The sequence below is a fragment of the Homo sapiens genome, chromosome 9 (assembly GCF_000001405.40).
Source record: "Homo sapiens chromosome 9, GRCh38.p14 Primary Assembly".
In the NCBI taxonomy this organism is placed as follows: Eukaryota; Metazoa; Chordata; class Mammalia; order Primates; family Hominidae; genus Homo; species Homo sapiens.
This window is the reverse complement of record NC_000009.12, coordinates 128,811,232-128,830,328: the sequence shown is the minus strand read 5'-3', so window position 1 is coordinate 128,830,328 and position 19,097 is coordinate 128,811,232. Positions and strand designations below refer to the sequence as shown.

The 19,097-nt window shown below is 54.8% G+C and overlaps 3 protein-coding genes across 6 annotated transcripts in view, besides 8 other annotated features; 2 read left to right on the top strand and 1 right to left on the bottom strand.

The window, feature by feature from the left end:
• The window catches only part of KYAT1-SPOUT1 (KYAT1-SPOUT1 readthrough), a 62,300-nt gene extending 51,622 nt beyond the window's left edge, over window positions 1-10,678 (top strand). For all 3 annotated transcript variants that reach the window (NR_182311.1, NR_182310.1, NM_001414398.1), the window contains 12 exons: window positions 324-584; window positions 1,174-1,219; window positions 1,469-1,594; window positions 3,138-3,297; window positions 3,700-3,789; window positions 3,896-3,945; window positions 4,177-4,307; window positions 5,280-5,352; window positions 5,460-5,558; window positions 6,155-6,257; window positions 6,435-6,582; window positions 7,496-10,678. Coding sequence is in view for 1 of the 3 variants with exons in the window: in NM_001414398.1 (NP_001401327.1) it covers window positions 324-584; window positions 1,174-1,219; window positions 1,469-1,594; window positions 3,138-3,297; window positions 3,700-3,789; window positions 3,896-3,945; window positions 4,177-4,307; window positions 5,280-5,352; window positions 5,460-5,558; window positions 6,155-6,257; window positions 6,435-6,582; window positions 7,496-7,564 (1,356 nt within the window). In the remaining 2 variants the exon portion in view is untranslated. The remainder of the gene's footprint in view (window positions 1-323; window positions 585-1,173; window positions 1,220-1,468; window positions 1,595-3,137; window positions 3,298-3,699; window positions 3,790-3,895; window positions 3,946-4,176; window positions 4,308-5,279; window positions 5,353-5,459; window positions 5,559-6,154; window positions 6,258-6,434; window positions 6,583-7,495) is intronic.
• Window positions 284-343: an enhancer, noted in NCBI's record as "active region_29093". NCBI's record gives its function as "activates an Ori minimal core promoter by ATAC-STARR-seq in GM12878 lymphoblastoid cells {active_cell/tissue: GM12878}" and the evidence as "EXISTENCE:reporter gene assay evidence [ECO:0000049][PMID:35858748]".
• SPOUT1 (SPOUT domain containing methyltransferase 1) lies at window positions 535-10,678 on the top strand. The gene is made up of 12 exons (NM_016390.4): window positions 535-584; window positions 1,174-1,219; window positions 1,469-1,594; window positions 3,138-3,297; window positions 3,700-3,789; window positions 3,896-3,945; window positions 4,177-4,307; window positions 5,280-5,352; window positions 5,460-5,558; window positions 6,155-6,257; window positions 6,435-6,582; window positions 7,496-10,678. Exons 1-12 carry the CDS (start codon window positions 549-551, stop codon window positions 7,562-7,564), a joined length of 1,131 nt encoding a protein of 376 aa, NP_057474.2. The 5' UTR covers window positions 535-548; the 3' UTR covers window positions 7,565-10,678.
• Window positions 624-803: a silencer, noted in NCBI's record as "silent region_20354". NCBI's record gives its function as "represses an Ori minimal core promoter by ATAC-STARR-seq in GM12878 lymphoblastoid cells {active_cell/tissue: GM12878}" and the evidence as "EXISTENCE:reporter gene assay evidence [ECO:0000049][PMID:35858748]".
• Window positions 1,141-2,071: an enhancer, noted in NCBI's record as "H3K27ac-H3K4me1 hESC enhancer chr9:131590537-131591467 (GRCh37/hg19 assembly coordinates)". NCBI's record gives its function as "activates a minimal SCP1, AML or CMV promoter by ChIP-STARR-seq in primed H9 embryonic stem cells {active_cell/tissue: H9 hESC(primed)}" and the evidence as "EXISTENCE:reporter gene assay evidence [ECO:0000049][PMID:30033119]".
• Window positions 7,653-11,829, bottom strand: ENDOG (endonuclease G). 2 transcript variants are annotated; one of them, XM_011518347.3, is made up of 4 exons: window positions 11,144-11,829; window positions 9,481-9,590; window positions 8,515-8,641; window positions 7,653-8,001 (listed from the first exon to the last, which is right to left on the bottom strand). In XM_011518347.3, exons 1-4 carry the CDS (start codon window positions 11,642-11,644, stop codon window positions 7,990-7,992), a joined length of 750 nt encoding a protein of 249 aa, XP_011516649.2. In that variant the 5' UTR covers window positions 11,645-11,829; the 3' UTR covers window positions 7,653-7,989. The 2 variants fall into 2 exon arrangements, with proteins under 2 accessions (XP_011516649.2, NP_004426.2); NM_004435.2 differs by lacking the exon at window positions 8,515-8,641.
• Window positions 10,826-10,915: an enhancer, noted in NCBI's record as "active region_29092". NCBI's record gives its function as "activates an Ori minimal core promoter by ATAC-STARR-seq in GM12878 lymphoblastoid cells {active_cell/tissue: GM12878}" and the evidence as "EXISTENCE:reporter gene assay evidence [ECO:0000049][PMID:35858748]".
• Window positions 10,826-11,431: a biological region, named in NCBI's record as "H3K27ac-H3K4me1 hESC enhancer GRCh37_chr9:131581177-131581742".
• Window positions 10,866-11,431: an enhancer, noted in NCBI's record as "H3K27ac-H3K4me1 hESC enhancer chr9:131581177-131581742 (GRCh37/hg19 assembly coordinates)". NCBI's record gives its function as "activates a minimal SCP1, AML or CMV promoter by ChIP-STARR-seq in naive H9 embryonic stem cells {active_cell/tissue: H9 hESC(naive)}" and the evidence as "EXISTENCE:reporter gene assay evidence [ECO:0000049][PMID:30033119]".
• Window positions 11,536-11,595: a silencer, noted in NCBI's record as "silent region_20353". NCBI's record gives its function as "represses an Ori minimal core promoter by ATAC-STARR-seq in GM12878 lymphoblastoid cells {active_cell/tissue: GM12878}" and the evidence as "EXISTENCE:reporter gene assay evidence [ECO:0000049][PMID:35858748]".
• Window positions 18,364-18,537: a silencer, noted in NCBI's record as "fragment chr9:131574071-131574244 (GRCh37/hg19 assembly coordinates)". NCBI's record gives its function as "represses an EF-1alpha promoter that drives an FKBP-Casp9 reporter gene in an ReSE screen in K562 erythroleukemia cells {active_cell/tissue: K562}" and the evidence as "EXISTENCE:reporter gene assay evidence [ECO:0000049][PMID:32094911]".

The following is a 19,097-nucleotide window of genomic DNA, read 5'->3' as shown; positions in this document are numbered from 1 at the left end:
AGAGTACGTGAACGAATCTATAAGAAACCTGGAGTAAATTATCTCATTTTCAGCTCTGAATCACACTACAGCTCAAGGCCCCAGGGTCCCCATGTATAAAGCCTTCCAGGAGCTAGGCGTGGTGCTGCGCACCTGTGGTTCCAGCTACTCGGGAGGCTAAGGTGGGAGGATCCCTTGAGCCCAGGAGCTCAAGCCTGCAGTGAGCTAGAATTGCTCCACTGCACTCCAGCCTCGGCAACATAGCGAGACCCTGTCTCAAAAAAAATTATTTTTAAACAAGTGAACTACTCAGAGGTCTGAGTGTTGTATTTGTCCCAACTCAGAGGGGGGCTCCGAGCCATCCAAAATTCAGCACAGTACCCGCGATGCCGCCTATTTGGACACCTACTCTGCCCAACCTACTCCAGCCCGCGTACCCCTGCAGCCCGTCGGGCGCCCAGGCCACGCCCCTGGGCGATATTGGCTCTCCGATTGGACAGCTTAATGGAGGTGTGGCCGGAAGAGGCGAGTCTCATTGGCAGAGGCGGGACCGACGGTGTGTGCGGAACATGGCGGAGCGCGGCAGGAAGCGGCCGTGCGGCCCGGTAAGTGCGGGCGGCGGGACCCCGTGCAGGGCAGCATGGTGGAGGCGTGAGAACCAGTGGCGTGGGGGCCTTCGCCGGGGCCGGGCCGCGCCTCCTGCTGCCTGCTTCCCGCTGATCCCAGGCCGGAAGCCCCCGAAGGTGCCGCGTGAGCCTCAGCAGGATGGGAACAGCGCCCGTGTCCTCTCCGGAACCCCCTGCGGCTCCCTGGCCCCCGCTGGATTACGGAGGCGGGACCCTGCTCGCCTCCGGATGCTGAATCCGGAGCCCTTTCGTGGCTTCTGGAGCCCTTTTCTGACTTCCAGGGCGACTGTGGGCAGTGCTGTACCCTGAGCCTCAGTTTTCTCTTCTGTTTTGTGGGAACTCATTCGACAGTTTCTTGAGTGCTTTCTGTGTGCCAGGCTGGGTCCCAGGCGCTGGGGATACAGCGGGTCCCTGCCCTCCTGCCGCTTTCTGGGGCAGCAGTTCGCAGAGGTTCCTTGGCTTCCTTGCCGCCCCGTGTGGAGGGGCTGGCTATGGTGCAGCAAACGGACCCCCTCCAGGTGTGACCATCAGCCTCACACTCATAATCCTCCTACCACTCCTTCTCCAGGGTGAACACGGCCAAAGGATTGAGTGGCGAAAATGGAAGCAACAGAGTAAGTAAGGGTGGGTAAGAGTATCTTCCCATAGGCCACTCCACCAGTGCTCAGTCAAACCCTGGAGAAAGACACCAACTTTGTTCCCTCTGGGTCCTGCAGCACACAAAGTGGGGAGGCAGGGGCCGGGAGCCCTGGGGAGGCTCCCTTGCTGCCCTCTGGCTGCTCACCCAGCAGCTCTCCAGAGTCCAGGCTGACCCAATGAGTGGGAACTGTCTCCTTGGCCAATTAGGATGTTCTTTTATCCAGAGAAAGAGGAGAAAAAAAAATGGAAGGATCTCAAGCTGATGAAAAAACTGGAGCGGCAGCGGGCACAGGAGGAACAGGCAAAGCGCCTGGAAGAGGAGGAGGCAGCGGCAGAGAAGGAGGACCGCGGTGAGCTGGGGTCTTGGGGAGGGCCACAGGTTGTGGCCCACGGTAGTTGTCCTGCAGGCAGAGCAGAGATGTCTTATCTGAAAGGGCCTTTACAGACCAGTAGGTCCAAACATCTTGTCCTGATGGAGAAACTGAGGCCCAGAGAAGGGAGGGAGCCAGCAAACTGAGTTCTGACCTCCTGCTTAGGTAAATTTCAAGCCTATGGAAGGCAAGCCTTATCTCTCTTTTTTTTTTTTTTTGAGATGGAGTCTTGCTCTGTTGCCCAGGCTGGAGTGCAACGGCGCCATCTCTGCTCACTGCAACCTCCACTGCCCAAGTTCAAGCAATTTTCCTCCCTCGGCCCCCCGAGTAGTTGGGATTACAGAAGTGTGCCACCACACCTGGCTAATTTTCGTATTTTTAGTAGAGACGTGGTTGCACCATGTTGGGGAGGCCGGTCTCGAACTCCTGACCTCAGGTGATCTGCCCACTTCAGCCTCCCAAAGTGCTGGGATTACAGGCATGAGCCACCGTGCCCGGCCCAAGCCTCATATCTCTTAACTTAGACCTCTAGAACTTCATGATCTTCCTGATTTTTTGACTTTTTTATTGAGCATTTTCTGTGTGCTTTAATTTCATTTTTCAATTATTTTGATTTCATAATAAAAATGAAAGAAAACTACAAAGAAGACAGGAACAATCCCAGCAAACATTGTAGCAAAAGCTTGTCCAAACAATTATAGCTACTTATCCATGTGTAGCAAAGTACAGATACAATGTTACAACAGTGAAACCATGTTATCTATGTGCTTCTTGGGCTTTTTTGTTTGTTTTTGAGACACAGTCTCGCTCTGTTGCCCAGGCTGGAGTGCAGTGGCTCGATCTCCGCTCACTGCAATCTCCACTTCCCAGTTCAATCGATTCTCCTGCCCCAGCCTCCGGAGTAGCTGGGATTACAGGCATGCGCCACCATGCCCAGCTAATTTTTGTATTTTTAGTAGAGACGGGGTTTCGCCATGTTGGCCAGGCTGGTCTTGAACTCCTGACCTCACTCAGGTGATCCGCCCGCCTTGGCCTCCCAAAGTGCTGGGATTACAGGCATGAGCCACCTTTTGTGTGACCTTGGGCCATGTATTTGACTTCCCGGGGCTGAAGGCCCCTGGTCTGTAAATGGGGATAATGGCAGTATCCTCACTAGGGATCAGGTTAATGGCTATCGGGTTAATGTGCACACACTAAAGACTTATTAGATATCAGCTTTCATTTTATCCCCATTTGATAGCTGGAGAACTGAGGCAGTAAGTGGGAGAGCCAGGATGTGAACTTAGGCCATTGCTACTAACCGCTCCACAGCCTCGCCCAGTGGTTTGCCCTGCTCAGAGGAGCCATGGAGACTGCTGGGAGACTGAGGCCCAGAGAGGGGAGCTGGATCTATTTTGCTCATCTCAAAATTCCTCCCACTTGGGAAATTCTCAAACCATGGGCGCTAGGGACAGAGGAAGGGAGAGAAAGGTAGGGGGCCCTTGCCTCTCACACTGGCTGGGAACATCCCTCCCCTGCTCAGGGCGGCCCTACACACTGAGCGTAGCCCTGCCGGGCTCCATCCTGGACAATGCTCAGTCGCCGGAGCTTCGCACCTACTTGGCCGGTCAGATTGCCAGAGCCTGTGCCATCTTCTGTGTGGATGAGATCGTGGTGTTTGATGAGGAGGGCCAGGATGCCAAGTAAGGGGCCATCCCACAGGGTGCCAGGGTTCAGGGAGAGGGAGGGGCTGCCGGGATGGGCCGAGGCTTCACCATGGCCCCGTCCACATGCCTGGCTCTTCCCTCGTGCCCTGCCTGAAATATTCCCTGTGTAATCCTTAGTGGGTAGAGTTGCCAGGTGGGGGTGATGACTACAGAGGTGGGATTGGGAGCCAGAAGGCCTAAACCTGTATCTCAGCTGTCACCCCGGCTGGAGTGCATGCAGTGGCATGGTCATGGCTCACTGCAGCCTCTACTTGCTGCACTCAGATGATCCTCCCACCTTAGCCTCCTGAGTAGCTGGGATTATACGCGTGCACTTGTAGACAGGAGCTCTTGAAGGGGCCACAGCTGGATCCTGAGCCCCCATCTCTCTCTCTCCAGGACTGTGGAGGGGGAATTCACAGGAGTTGGGAAGAAGGGGCAGGCGTGCGTACAGCTGGCCCGGATCCTGCAGTACCTGGAGTGTCCACAGTAAGGGGGTCACTCCCCTAAGCATGAGGGAGGGGTGTGTCAAAGTGGAGACCAGGTAGGAGGCGGCTTCCCCTGGGAACATCCTGAGGTCAGCATTCTTTCCTAGGTACCTGAGGAAGGCGTTCTTCCCCAAGCACCAGGATCTACAGTTTGCAGGTAACGCTGTATGGGCCCGCCCCCCCATTTCCCCTGGATCATGCCACAGACACTGAGACCACCCAGTCCTACCCTGCGCTGTCCAGGTGGGAAAGCAGGCCTGGGAGAGCAAGACCTGTGTCTGATGCCAAGACGCAGGTCTGTGGCAGAGCCGGTACTCCGCTCCAGGGTCCCCACTGCACCCTGTGTGCCCTAGCACTTCCCAGACTCTTCCCGGCTCTGCCTCCACAGGGCTCCTGAACCCCCTGGACAGCCCCCACCACATGCGTCAGGATGAGGAATCCGAGTTCCGAGAGGGCATCGTGGTGGATCGGCCCACCCGGCCAGGCCACGGCTCCTTTGTCAACTGTGGCATGAAAAAGGTAGGAACAGAAAGATGGGCTAGGACACACCTCCAGGACACACCCTGGCAATGGAGGGCAAGCAGATGGATGTTGCGGAGAGCCCTGGACCTGCCCGAAATCCCTCACTGATGCAAATTTGGGCCAGAGAATTGTGCAAAATGGGGCTCAATAGATAAAGCCAGGAATGAATTTACTGTTGCTTAAAAAGCAAATCAACAGAAGACAGTCCTCATGCTCCAAACAAAACCCTGCAGAAACAAGTTGAAAGTCACTCTGGAGCTGCTCCCATGTGGCACAGAGCCAAGCTGGGATGAGGGCATTAATTTGCCGCCTCTTTATCCTCAAGCCTCCTCAAATCAGAGGCAGAAACCTTTACATGTATGGAGTCCCTTCCTGTCAGAAAGCACAACCCAAGCGCAGTGGCTCACGCCTGTAACCCCAGCACTTTGGGAGGCTGAGGCAGGCGGGTCATTTGAGGTCAGGAGTTTGAGACCAACCTGGCCAATATGGTGAAACCCTGTCTCTAATAAAAGTACAAAAATGATCCAGGTGTGGTGGCACGCATCTATAATCCCAGCTACTCGGGAGGCTAAGGCAGGAGATTCACTTGAACCCAGGAGACAGAGGTTGCAGTGAGCTGAGATCGTGCCACTGCACTCCAGCCTGGGTGAGAGAGCCAGACTCCATCTTAAAAAAGAAAAAAAAGAAAAAAAAGTTGCAGAGCTACCAAAATGTAGAAAACTGAGTTTCATCTACTTCTATCCTGTGCCATGAGCGCCCCAAAGGTGCATGTTTGGCCAGTGACCTGTGTTTTGCACAAATGATCTCTTGTGAGCAGGTTCAGCCGGTGCCAGGGGTGGAGGGTGGCAGGTTGACCTGGACCCCTTGGTCCCTTGCCAGCCCCGGGGCTCCCCTGGTGGCATCTGGAAGAGCCGTGGCCCCTGCTGATCTTGAGAGGAATGGCACCCATTTCTTCTGGCTTCTCCCCAGGAGGTGAAGATTGACAAGAACCTGGAGCCCGGGCTTCGGGTGACTGTGCGACTGAACCAGCAGCAGCACCCAGGTATCTGGAAGGTTCCCCAACCCCTGGGTTGGCCTGATGAGCTCCAGGGTTCAGCCACCTGCTTCCATTCCCTCACCCCATCTTTACAGACTCTGTTACCCCTCCAGACTGCAAGACCTACCATGGCAAAGTGGTATCATCGCAGGACCCTCGCACCAAAGCTGGTCTCTACTGGGGCTACACCGTCCGACTGGCTTCCTGCCTCAGTAAGGACAGACCTTACTTCTCTGAATATCCATCCATCCCTCTGGGAGGTGGCCGGGAGCCTTGCCTGACCCAAATATCAGACCAGGGTTTTTGTCCTGTCAACTTGCTGTGTGTCCTTGGGCAAGTCCTTCCCCTTCTCTGGGCCTTGTTCTCCCTGGATGCACTGCCTGGAATGCTGTTAAGGACTACTGAGCAAAAGTATCATTATTGATCAATAATGTTTCTGTAGGGTTGGGAATGGAGGCAAAAGGGCCAGAGAAGTCAGAGGCCCACTTCATGTTCTTGGTGCCTCTTCCTATCCAGTCTCTGCCCTGTTCCCCAGCCAAGCACAGGCTTGGTGTCTGCCCTGCTCAGTCCTTGACTTTCCAGGAACAGCTCTACCCACCCCTGCTCGGTACACACACACCCCTGCCTCAATGCACACACAGGCAGAGCTCTACCCACCCACCCCTACCTTAGTACACACACGCACACACACACACACACACACCACACAGCTCTTCCCACCCACCCCCGCCTCAGTACACACACACATAATACCCGGAGCTATGGCTTGTGGGGAGCAGGACCTGCACTGAGCTGGCCCCACCCCCAGGTGCTGTGTTTGCTGAGGCCCCCTTCCAAGATGGGTATGACCTGACCATCGGGACGTCAGAGCGCGGCTCAGATGTGGCCTCTGCCCAGCTTCCCAACTTCAGGTGTGTACCTCCTGGGGCTGCGGCCAGGGCAGGAGGAATGTGGCCAGGAACCTGCCTGGTGGGTGAAGCTGCACAGATGGGCCCCTGCTGTCTGGGGTGGGGAGGGACTGAGGTCTGGGCGCTGTGCTGGGTGGGGCCTCGGTGGCCGCTCAGGTGACCCCCTCTTACATGGGCCAGGCATGCTCTTGTGGTGTTCGGGGGCCTCCAGGGTCTGGAAGCTGGAGCGGATGCTGACCCCAACCTGGAGGTGGCTGAACCCAGTGTCCTCTTTGACCTGTACGTCAATACCTGTCCTGGCCAGGGTAGCCGTACCATCCGCACGGAGGTGAGCCCGCCTGCCTCCCCGACTGCCAGCCACTGGGGCCTTGGGATCTGTCCGAGGGGCGGGTGCTACTCTTGCCCTGTCACCCACCCTTGCCCGTGGCTGCCTTGTCTGGAGGTGGTCCTCTCATCCCCCTTGGCCTCTTGCCACAGCGACGAGACATGAGTGTAGCTGGGAGTCAACCATGGGTGCTAGTGCCCGTCCTGTGCTCCCAGACTGGGTGACCCAGGGGGCCCTGCCCACCCCTGCTCCGGGCCTCTGGTTCCTTAGCCGTGCGCTCAGTGATCTCCCAGGGCCCTGGTTCTGCCACTTCCTTGTGTGTGACCACGGTGGGCACAGCAGCTCTCCCCTTGGGGTCTCACTTGCATCTGTCCCACGGGGGAAGCCACGTGCAGCTGGAGCCTTCGTCCTGGCCTCATGGAACCTGTGTACCCACTTTTGGGGTCAGGCATAGGACGCTGTGCTACGGGAACTCTGCTGGGAAGGCTGGTACTCCCATCAGTCTCGCCGGGCCGACAGCCCTGTCTACCCATCCCTAAGGCCTTGCCCAAGCCGAGCACTCTGAGCCTGACAGCCATACCCCCCAGCAGGAACCCTGGCTGCCACCCTTCCAACCCCTGCACGAGGGGTGAAAACTTCTTGCCCCTCTTCTTGCCCTCCCCTGGCCCTGGGAGGTGGGCGTTGTTACCTTCGCCCCCATTTTACAGAAGAGGAGCCTGAGGAGCAGGCTGTGTGGTCCTCCAGGTGGCAAGTGTGCAGTGTGAACCTGGGCCTGTCATTAACCTCACCAGGCCCTACTAAGGACAGGGGACCCCAGTGGGCCAGGTCTCGGGCAGCCAGGCACTGAAGACAGGCTGGGAGCGGGGGCACCCGCTAGCCCCCCAGGCCCCAGCCCACTGCCACGCTTCTCTTCCAGGAAGCCATCCTCATCTCCCTGGCCGCCCTGCAGCCTGGCCTCATCCAGGCGGGTGCCCGGCACACCTGAAAGTTCTAAGGGGCCGAGGACATCAGTGAAGCAGCAGTGAAACCAGGGGCTCTGCAGGTCACTTGGGACGGACGCCACCAGACTTGTCTCCAAAAATCACCACCTTTAATACTCCCCGGCCTGCACACACCCACAGTCTCACTGGGCTCCACCCTCACTTACTGCCCGCCGTGATGGCCTTGAGGCTGCCTGCCCGCGCCAGGATGTTTGGCACAAAGAGCAGCCCCGAAGCCCGCTCAATGCTCTCGATGGGCACCAGGAAGCGCTCCAGTGGGATGGCCTCATCCACAGGTGCGTTGGGCATCACGTAGGTGCGGAGCTCAATTTGCCCACCTGCTGCCTCCAGGATCAGCACCTTGAAGAAGTGTGTGGGCACTGCCACGTGGTTCTTGCCGATGACCTGGTACTTTACGTAGGATTTCCCATCAGCCTCTGTCCTGTGGGCAGACCCAGGCACACGTGGGCAGGGGGCCTGGATGAACCCAAAGCCACCTCTTCCAGGCAGCCTTCCCTGATCTGTCCTCTAACTTCTGTCAACCTGCAGGACCACGCCCTCACTGTGAGACTTCTGTAGCCTGCCTGGCTCCTCCTTGAGGCTGGAACTCTCTCCAGGGTGGTTAACTCTTTCCCTCTGTTTTCCTTATGCCCAACACTGGGTCAGGCAGAGTGGGCGACAATAAACGCTGCTAGGAGAATCGAGCCTTCTGAATATTCACATTCGTCTGAGGGGAGACTTAACGACTGTCCATCTCTCCCCACAGAGGTGAGCAACAAGTGGGCAAGGACCATGACAGGTGATATCCCAGCACCAGCACAGGTGCCAGGACACCGGACGGGGGCTCCCCCTCAGCAGAGTCTCCTCCCTTCCACCAGGCCCTAGGAGGCACCTGCTAATGAAATTTGATCAGTGCCCCAACCACCGCCTTGGCCAGCCTATGCCGAGCCCTTACCATGGACCAGGCCCTGGGGAAGCATGTGACATCAACCAAGAGGTCACAGGTTTTGCAGAGGGGGACACAGGTCATTTGCCCACAGCACCAAGGAACTAGGTGATGAGGCCTGGACTCCATCCCGAGCCTGTGGATTCCAGAGTGAGCTGCTCAGCCTGGACCTGTTGCCTCTCAGCCCCAGCCCTCTGCAGGCCAGAAAAACCACGGAGCACACCCAGAGGTGCTCAGTTGCTTCCACCTGAGAGGCAGGGCTGCACAGGAGCAAGAGTGGAGGCCCTGGGTCAGGCAGATCTAGATTCAAACTCCCGAGAAGGGTGGAGGGAAGTGCTCCAAGCAGAGCAGAGACTGAAGGCGGGAGAGCCTGGTGCACCGCGGACCTGCAGGGGGAAGGCATGAGAGCTCGGTGCACTGGGGACCTGCATGGGGAAGGCGGGAGAGCTCGGTGCACTGGGGACCTGCATGGGGAAGGCGTGAGAGCTCGGTGCACTGGGGACCTGCATGGGGAAGGCGGGAGAGCTCGGTGCACCTCGGACCTGCAGAGGGAAGGTGGGAGAGCTTGGTGCACCGCAGACCTGCAGGGGGAAGGCGGGAGAGCTTGGTGCACTGCAGACCTGCGGGGGGAAGGTGGGAGAGCTTGGTGCACTGCAGACCTGCGGGGGGTTCCATATTGGCAGAACAAGATTGGGTGGGCATGCCAAGAGGTGACAGCAGGGAGAAGCGGGGGCAGATTCAGGGCCTGCTGCTGCCCATGGGCAGAGGAGAGATGGTCAGGGGTACCCGACAGGTCTTTGGCTGTGGAGGTGGAATGAGGGGACTCGAGGCAGGGAAGCTGACAGGCTTGCCAAGAAACCAGATGAGTAGGGAACTGGTATTGACCCAGAGCCTGGGGCAAGCCTGGCCCTGTGAGTGGCAGTAGGGGCCTCAGGTGAGTGGGAGGTTCTGCCGCCCCCCTGGTTTCCACCTTACCTGGGCAGGAAGAGTGGCCCTGTGCAGACATAGACGTTTTGGTAGCTGCGGGTCAAGCTGCGGCTATATTTCTCCAGGTTGTTCCAGGCATTCTGGTTGAGGTGGGGCACCTGGTAGGAGAGATAGGGCTTAGCAGGACTGTGGCTGGGACCCTTCCTCCTCTATCAGAGGGCCGCCCCAGGTCCTGAGGGGATGGACAGGCTCAGAGATATCCAGTGAGACAAGCGGGGGGAAACTGAGGCTCAAGGAATGAAAGTCACTCCCTGAAACCCAGGGCTGATAGAGTGCTAGCCACCACCCTCTGTCCCTCCCACAGCCCAGGTGTCAAAGTCTTTTCTCAGCTCCCAAGAGTCGAATGAAGGAAGAGCCTGTCTCCACCTTTCAGAGAGGACTGAGGCCTGTCCCCAGCCCCACCCAGGGTCTCCTGGGAAGACCAGCCCTTCCAACTACCAACCCGTTCCTTTTCCCAGTCTGAGCCACAGGAAGAGCCTAGCGGGGAATGCCATGAATCGACCTCCATCCTGAGCTCTCCAGGCCTGGGACAATGGAAAGTGGATAGGGGGCTGTCTTCCCAGAAGGAAGCTGGGTCAGAGGTTGGTGCCCCATGGGCTCCACCCAGAGCCCCATGGCAGTCTCCATCCATTGGTGCCAGGACCTGCTGGGAACAGGCTGAGAGGGTGGTTGGCCCAGTGCACAGTGCCTGGCACTAACAACCTGATCGTGGGCCAGGTGTCTGCCTCGAAACTGCCTGAAGGCAGGCAGGGTAGGACAATGTCTGGAGGCTCACGGTTTTATAGACTAGGGGTCCCCAACCCCTGGGCTACAGACCGGTACCAGAACCGGGCCACACAGCAGGAGGTGAGCAGCAGGCGAGCAAGGGAAGCTTCATCTGTATTTACAGCCACCCCCCCATTGATCCCACAGCAGCCTGAGCTCCGCCTCCTGTCAGATCAGTGGCGGCTGGAGATTGTCATAGGAGCTGGAACCCTATGGTGAACTGCGCATGTGAGGAGGTTGCGCGCTTCTTTTGAAAACCTAATGCCTGATCTGTCGTTGTTGCCCATCACCTCCAGATAGGACTGTCTAGTTGCAGGAAAACAAGCTCAGGGCTCCCACGGATCCTACATTACTGTGAGTTGTATATTTCACTATATGTTACAATGTAATAATAATAGAAATAAAATGTACATAAATGTAACGCACTTGAATTATCCTGAAACCCGCCCTCACCCACCAAGCCGTGGAAAAACTGTCTTCCACGAAACCGCACCCTGGTGCCCAATAGGTTGGGCGCTGCGGTTCTACAACAGACAGCCTTCTTCTGCTGTGTGACACTGTGCCCGTCACTTTGCCTCTGTGAGCCTCAGCGCCTCATCACTACCGCAGGAGGAAGGTGAATAACGGTATTATCCCCATTTTTTTGACGAGGAAAGCGACGCTCAGGGAGGTGCCCAGGGTTCGCAGTTGAAGCTCAAGCCCTGGTCGGCCTGCAGACCCTGTGCCTGGAGCCCAGTGCTCCTCCCTCCCGCCACGGGATGTCACTGCGATGCCTGACCGGGGGCGCGTTGGGCAGCTGCCCCGTTCTGCAGAAGAACAAACCGAGGCCCCGCGAGGCCAGGCGCCGGCCCCGCATTCCGCGACCGGCCCGGGGCGCGGGCGCTACCTGGGGCGCGACGTTGCTCAGGTAGAACGTGTCGTCCATGGCCTTCTGGCTCCAGCGGTGGTTGGCGGCGGCGGCCAGGTGACCGCGGTCGAAGCCACTGCCGCGGTAGTCGGCGTTGGTGGCACGGTGGTACGCGTGCACCGAGTCGTCCTCGCGGAAGTCGCACTCGCGCCGGTCGCCGTCGCCGCGGAGACGCTCGGGTCGCAGCTGCTCCACCACCCAGAGCGCGCCGCGGGTGCGCGGGTCGTAGCACAGCACGTACGACTCGCGGCTCTTGAGCTGCGCCAGCCCCGGCAGCCCGTACTTGGCCAGCTCGCCCGGGCCGCGGGGTCCCCCGGGCACAGGGGGCAACTCGGCTGCCGCCGCCACGGGCAGCACGGGCAGCCGGCCCAGCAGTCCCGGCGCCGCCCGCGCGTCCTCCCGCCGCCGCCGCCAGCCCTCGACGACCGCACCCAGCCCCGCGCCCGACGCCAGGGTCAGGCCGGCCCGCAGCGCCCGCATGGCCGGGGAGCGACCTAGCGGCGGGCGACCCGCGAGGCTCTTAAAGGAGCCGCGTCGCGGGATCCAACGAGGGCACAGGGCTGCTGGGGCCGCGGACGATAGCGTGACCTCCCTTCCACTCACAAACACTGCCAAGGGCTTGGGCCTCGGAACCCAGAAGGGAGCAGCAGAGCCCAACCGGGTGTCCCCGGCGTCCTTTCTTTGCGCATTTAAGACGCCGGTATGAGGGGCGTGGCATCGTCGCCTCAGCTCGCGATTGGCCACCATCAGGCCTGGCTCCGCACCCGCCTCGCAGGCCCCCTGCTGGTCGTGGGGTGGGAGACACTCTCTCCTCTGCGCCTGCGCAGGGAGCTCCTGCTTAATACGCTCCGCGGAAGGGTCAAGCACTGTCGAAAGCTTTTACTGTCACTGCTTAGTCTCACCCTCTACACCGCTCGGAGAGTGAGCTCCTAGTTCGCAGAGCAGGCACAGGGCCCCAGGTATATCTGGCCCTAGGCTATCCTCCATGACACCATAAAATAAGCCCCGCAATTCTACCAGATTGGCAAAGGTTTCTTTTTTTTTTTTTTTTTTTTTGAGACGGAGTTTCGCTCTGGTCGCCCAGACTCGAGTGCAATGGCGTGATCTCGGCTCACTGCAACCTCCGCCTCACAGGTTCAAGCGATTCTCCTGCTTCAGCCTCCCAAGTAGCTGGGATTACAGGCATGCGCCACCACGCCCGGCTAATTTTGTATCTTTAGTAGAGACAGGGTTTCTCCATGTTGGTCAGGCTGGTCTCAAACTCCCGACCTCAGGCGATCCGCCGGCCTCGGCCTCCCAAAGTGTTGGCATTACAGGCGTGAGCCACCGCGCCCGGCCCAGATTGGCAAAGATTTTAATTAACAGCAGTTTGAGGACAAGGATGCAGACGGCTGATGCTGGCTGCTGGCTGGAACAGAAACCTGGGGCGAATATTCCAAAAAACAGCTTGACAGTACAGTACAAGCGAAGCCTTAAAAAGGTTCATACCGTTCAACCCACGCAGAGGGCTGAGCTGGGGAAATCTCGGGAATGCAAGGATCTCGAACGCAAATATTCACCAGAGTATTACACTGCCGGCAGGAATAAGCAAAATATTCAGAAATATGGACTGGTTAAGGACTTTTATTTTTTGAGACGGAGTCTCACTCTATTGCCCAGGCTGGAGTGCAATGGCGTGATCTCCGCGCAGTGGAACCTCTGCCTCCCAGGTTCAAGTGATTCTCCTGCCTCAGCCTCTGAAGTAGCTGGGATTACAGGCGCGCACCACCAGGCCCAGCTAATTTTTTTTTTTTTTTGAGACGGAGTCTCGCTCTGTCGCCCAGGCTCACTGCAACCTCCGCCTCCTTGGTTCAAGCGATTCTCGTGCCTCGGCCTCCTGAGTAGCTGGGACTACAGGCGCGCGCCACCACGCCCAGCTAATTTTTGTACTTTTAGTAAAGAATGGGTTTCACCATGTTGGCCAGGCTGGTCTCGAACTAACTCCTGACCTTGTGATCCACCCACCTTGGCCTCCCAAAGTGCTGGGGTTATAGACATGGGCCACCCAACCCAGCCACTCTTAGCATTTTTTTTTCCTTTAAGGAAAATAAGGTCTTGTGCTGTCACCCACACGGAGTGCAGTGGCAAGATCACAGTTCACTGCAGCCTTGACCTCCTGGGCTCAAGCCATCCTCCTGCCTCACCCTCCCGAGTAGCTAGGACCACAGACACATATCATGATGCCTGGCTAACTTTTAAATTTTTTATAGAGATGGGGCCTCGCTATGTTGTCCAGGCTGGTCTTGAACTCCTGGCCTCCAGTGATCCTCCTGCCTTGGCCTCCCAAAGTTACAGGCATGAGCCACTAAGCCCTCCTGAGGTCAGTAGTTTGAGACCAGCCTGGCCAACATGGCGAAACCCTGTCTCTACTAAAAATACAAAAATTAGCTGGGCATAGTGGACCGTGCCTGTAATCCCACCTACTGGGGGACTGAGGCAAGAGGATTGCTTGAACCTGGAGGGCGGAGGTTGCAGTGAGCCGAGATCATGCCACTGCACTCCAGCCTGGGCAACAGAGTGAGACTCTGCTTCAAAAAAAAATATGGGACAGGGTCTTGCTTTGTTGCCCAGGCTGTTCTTGACCTCCTGGGATCAAGTGATCTGTGGGCCTCAGCCTCCTGAGTAAATGGGACTACAGGCTATGGTGTATCACCATACCCAGCTACTTTCAGCAATTTTGAAATATACATTAACTATAGTGACCATGCTGTAGTTTGTGTTTTTTTTTTTTGGAGACAGAGTTTTGCTCTTGTTGCCCAGGCTGGGGTGCAATGGCGTGATCTCGGCTCACCACAACCTCTGCCTCCCAGGTTCAAGTGATTCTCCTGCCTCAGCCTCCCGAGTAGCTGGGATTACAGGCATGTGTCACCATCCCCAGCTAATTTTTTGTATTTTTAGTAGAGACAGGGTTTCTCCATGCTGGTCAGGCTGGTCTCGAACTCCCGACCTCAGATGATCCACCCACCTCAGTCTCCCAAAGTGCTGGGATTACAGGTGTGAGCCATCGCACCTGGCCATACCATGCTATAGTTCTAAAAAAAAAACATTCCTGGGCCGGGTATGGTGGCTTAGGCCTGTAATCATAGCCCTTTTGGAGGCCAAGGTGGGAGGATTGCTTGAACCAAGGAGTTCAAGACCAGCCTGGGCAACATAGTAAGACCCCCGTCTCAAATTAAAAAAAAAAAAATCCTCCTGTCTAGCTGAAACTGTACCCTTTGACCAACATTTCCCCATTCCCCACCGCCCCAACTCCCACCAATCCCCAGACTCTGGTACCATCATTCTACTCTCCACCTCTATGAGTTGTTTTACATTCCGAATATAAGTGAAACCATGTCGTGTTTGTCTTTCTGTGCCTGGCTTATTTCACCTACCGTAACGTCCTCTAGGTTCTTCCATGTTGTCACAAATGACAGAATCTCCTTTTTTTTTTGAGGGTGAATCTCGCACTGTTGCCTGGGCTGGAGTGCAATGGCACAATCTTGGCTCACTGCAACCTCCCCCTCCCAGGTTGACGCAATTCTCTTGCCTCAGCCTCCTGAGTAGCTGGGATTACAGGTGCACACCACCACGCTCGGCTAATTTTGTTGTATTTTTAGTAGAGATGGGGTTTCACTATGTTGGCCAGACTGGTCTTGAACTCCTGACCTCGTGATCCACCTGCCTCAGCCTCCCAAAGTGCTGGGATTACAGGCGTTAGCCACCACGCCCGGCCTTGTCTTTTTTTTATAAGCCATTCTGACAGGTGTGAGGTGGTATCTCATTTTGGTTTTAATTTGCATTTCCCAGATGATCCATGCATTGTTCAGCATTTTTTCAGATAGTTGCCAGAAATTTTTATGTCTTTTTTTATTTTTTTTTGAGACAGAGTCTGGCTCTGTCACCAGGCTGGAGTGCAGTGGCTCGATCTCGGCTCACTGCAACCTCCGCCTCCTGGGTTCAAGCACACACCACTATGCCCATCTAATTTTTGTATTTTTAGTAGAGACGGGGTTTCACCATGTTGGCCAGGATGGTCTTGATCTCTTCACCTGGCGATTCGCCTGCCTCAGCCTCCCAAAGTGCTGTATGTCTTCTTTTGAGAAATATCTATTCAGGTCCTTTGCGTGTTGTTTAAATCACATTGTTTTCTTGCTATTGAGATTTTTGTTTGTTTCTGTTTTTGTTTTTTAGACAGAGTCCTGCTCTGTCACCCAGGCTGGAGTGCAGTGGCACGATCTCGGCTCACTGCAACCTCCGCCTCTGGGTTCAAGTGATTCTTGTGCCTCAGCCTCCTGGGTAGCTGGGATTACAGGCACCCACCACCACTCCTGGCTAATATTTTTGTAGTTTTAGTAGAGACTGGGTTTCACCATATTGGCCAGGCTGGTCTTGAACTCCGGACCTCAGGTGATCCACCCGCCTCCGCCTCCCAAAGTGCTTGAATTACAGGCATGAGCCACCATGCCCAGCTGCTACTGAGATGTTTTAAGTACTTATATATCTTGGATATTAACCCCTTATCAGATGTATGGTTTGCAAATATAATCATGCATCACATAAAGATATGTAATCCAAGCTACCCTGGGATGCTGAGGCATGAGAATTCCTTGTACCCCGGAGGCTGAGGTTGCAGTGAGCTGAGATCGTGCCACTGCACTCCAGCCTGGGCGACAGAGCGAGACTCTATCTCAAAAAAAAAAACAAACCAAAAAAAGTATGCCAGGCTAGGTGGCTCACACCTGTAATCCCAGCACTTTGGGAGGCCGAGGCAGGTGGATCACAATGTCAGGAGTTCAAGACCAGCCTGGCCAACACGGTGAAACACTGTGTATACTAAAAATACAAAAATTAGCCGGGTGTGGTGGCACACACCTGTATTCCCAGCTACTGGGGAGGCTGAGGCAGGAGAATTGCTTGAACCCGGGAGGCAGAGGTTGCAGTGAGCCGAGGTAGTGTCACTGCACTCAAGCCTGGGTGACAGAGAGAAACTCTTGTCTCAAAAAAAAAAGTAATAATAATAAAAAATAAAGAATGATACACCTGTCTGTATAAAGCGCTTACCATGAATGGAGCTTCTGGGACAGGAAGTTGCTCTGCGTGGGTCACTGAGGAGTGAATGTGAAGGCCCAGAACAAAGTCTACTCTACGCTACTGTAGACTTTATCAACACTATATTTAGGCTACACTAAATTTATTTGAAATACTTCTTTCTTCAATAATAAACCTTAGCTTACTGTAACTTTTACTTTTTTTTTTTTTTTTAGGCGGAATCTTGCTCTGTTGCCCAGGCTGGAGTGCAGTGGCGCGATCTTGGCTCACTGCAAGCTCCGCCTCCTGGGCTCACGCCATTCTCCTGCCTCAGCCTCCCGAGTAGCTGGGACTACAGGCGCCCGCCACCACACCTGGCTAATTTTTTGTATTTTTAGTAGAGACGGGGTTTCACTGTGTTAGCCAGGATGGTCTCGATCTCCTGAACTCGTGATCTGCACGCCTTGGGCTCCCAAAGTGCTGGGATTACAGGTGTGAGCCACCGCGCCCAGCCACTGTAACTTTTACTTTACGAGTTTTTATTTATTTATTTATTTATTTATTTATTTATTTTGAGACAGAGTCTCACTCTGTTACCCAGGCCAGAGTGCAGTGGCACAATCTCAGCTCACTGCAACCTCCACCTCCCAGGTTCAAGTGATTCTGCTGCCTCAGTCTCCAAGTGAGTAGCTGGGATTACAGGTGCCTGCCACCACGCCTAGCTAATTTTTGTATTTTTATTTTATTTATTTTATTTTTTTTTTTGAGACAGAGTCTCACTCTGTCACCAAGCTGAAGTACAGTGGTGCCATCTCTGGTCACTGAAATCTCCGCCTCCCAGGTTCAAGCGATTCTCCTGCCTCAGCCTCCCGAGTAGCTGGGAATAGAGGCGGGCATCACCACACCCAGCTAACTTTTGTATTTTTAGTAGAGATGGGGTTTCACCATGTTGGCCAGGATTGTCTCCATCTCCTGACCTCGTGATCTGCCCACCTAGGCCTCCCGAAGTGCTGGGATTACAGGCGTGCCACCGTGCCTGGCCTACAAATGTTCTAATTTTTTTAAACTTTTGGACTCTTTTGTAGTAACAGTTAGCTTAAAACACAAATACAGCTGGGTGTGGTGGCTCACGCCTGTAATCCCAGCACTTTGGGAGGCTGAGGTGGGCGGATCACCTGAGGTCAGAAGTTCAAGACCAGCCTGGTCAACATGGTGAAACCCCATCTCTGCTAAACTTCCAAAAAGAATTATCCGGGTGTGGTGGCGGGCGCCTGTAATCCCAGCTACTCAGGAGGCTGAGGCAGGAGAATTGCTTGACCTCGGGAGGTGGACGGTGCAGTGAGCCAAGATCGCGCCATTGTACTCCATCCTGGCAACAAGAGTAAAACTCTGTCTCAAAAATAAATAAATAAATAAATAAATAAAAATAAATTCAATTAAAAAAATACAAAAGTTAGGCAGGGCGTGGTGGCTCATGCCTGTAATCCCAACACTTTGGGAGGCTGAGGCAGGTGGATCACCTAAGGTCGGGAGTTCAAGACCAGCCTGACTAACATGGTAAAACTGTTTCTACTAAAACAAACAAAAAACCCAAAAAATTAGCCGGGCATGGTGACATGTGTCTCTAATCCGAGCTACTCTGGAGGCTGAGGCAGGAGAATTGCTTGAACCCGGGAGCCAGAGGTTACAGTGAGCTGAGATCATGACATTGCACTCCAGCTAGGGCAACAAGAGTGAAACTCCGTCTCAAAAATAAATAAATAAATAAAAGTTAGCCAGGCATGGTGGCGTAGGTTTGTAGTCCCAGCTACTTGGGAGGCTGAGGCAGGGGAATCACTTGAACCCAGGAGGCGGAGGTTGCAGGGAGCCAAGCTGGCGCCACTGCAGCAAGCCTGGGCAACAGAGCGAGACGCTATCTCAAAAACAGCACCAAAACAAAAACAAAAACAAAAAAAAACAAAAAAAACCCCACAAACACAGCTTGGCACAGTGGCTCGCACCTGTAATCCCAACACTGGGAGGCCAAGGCAGGAAGACTGTTTGAGCCCAGGAGTTTTGAGACCAGCCTGGGCAATGCAAAGATGCCCTGTCTCTACAAAATATAAAAACCTAGCTGGGCGTGGTGATGTGTGCCTGTGGTCCCAGCTACTTGAGAGGCTGAGAAGGGAGGATCACCAGAGCCTGGGAATTCAAGGCTGCAGTGAGCCATAATCATGCCCCTGCACTCTAGCCTCAGTGACAGAGTAAGACCCTGTCTCAAAAAAAAAAAAAAAAAAAAAAGAAAAAGAAAAAAAAAGAAAAGATAACCAATTCACCCCCAAATGCCTGGGTTCATTTTGGGCTCCTCTGTTCTGTTCCTTTGGTCAGTGTGTCTATTTTACACCAGTATCATGCTGTTATGGTTACTAAACCTTTTTTTTTTTTTTTTTTTTGAGACGGAGTTACACTTTCGTTGCCCAGGCTGGAGTGCAATGGCACGATTTGGGCTCACCGAAATCTCCACCTCCCGGGTTCAAGCGATTCTCCTGCCTCAGCCTCCTGAGTAAGTGGGATTACAGGCATGTGCCACCACGCCCTGCTAATTTTTGTATTTTTAGTAGAGACGGGGCTTCACCATGTTGGCCAGGCTGGTCTCAATCTCTTGACCTTGTGAAACGCCCACCTCGGCCTCCCAAAGTGCTGAGATTACAGGCATGAGCCACTGCGCCCGGCTCTAAATAATTTTTTTGAGGGGGTACTTACTGTGAATGAGATTTTCTCTATTTCTTGTCTTTTTTTTTCTGAATTCAGTTTTTTATTTCTGCCTTTTTCTTGATTTCTTTTTCAGATAGTTTGTTAGTGTACAGAAATGTTACTGATTTCTGTTTGTTGATTTTGTTTCTTG

Excerpts from the sequence above, each read along its gene's own strand:
- SPOUT1 (NM_016390.4), top strand. The coding sequence starts at position 549 with ATGGCGGAGCGCGGCAGGAAGCGGCCGTGCGGCCCG. Across the intron at positions 1,595-3,137 it reads GGCAGAGAAGGAGGACCGCG|GGCGGCCCTACACACTGAGC; the intron begins GTGAGCTGGGGT and ends TCCCCTGCTCAG. Across the intron at positions 3,790-3,895 it reads CAGTACCTGGAGTGTCCACA|GTACCTGAGGAAGGCGTTCT; the intron begins GTAAGGGGGTCA and ends ATTCTTTCCTAG.
- ENDOG (NM_004435.2), bottom strand. The coding sequence starts at position 11,644 with ATGCGGGCGCTGCGGGCCGGCCTGACCCTGGCGTCGGGCGCGGGGCTG. Across the intron at positions 9,591-11,143 it reads TGAGCAACGTCGCGCCCCAG|GTGCCCCACCTCAACCAGAA; the intron begins GTAGCGCCCGCG and ends CTCTCCTACCAG. Across the intron at positions 8,002-9,480 it reads GGGCCACTCTTCCTGCCCAG|GACAGAGGCTGATGGGAAAT; the intron begins GTAAGGTGGAAA and ends GTCTGCCCACAG.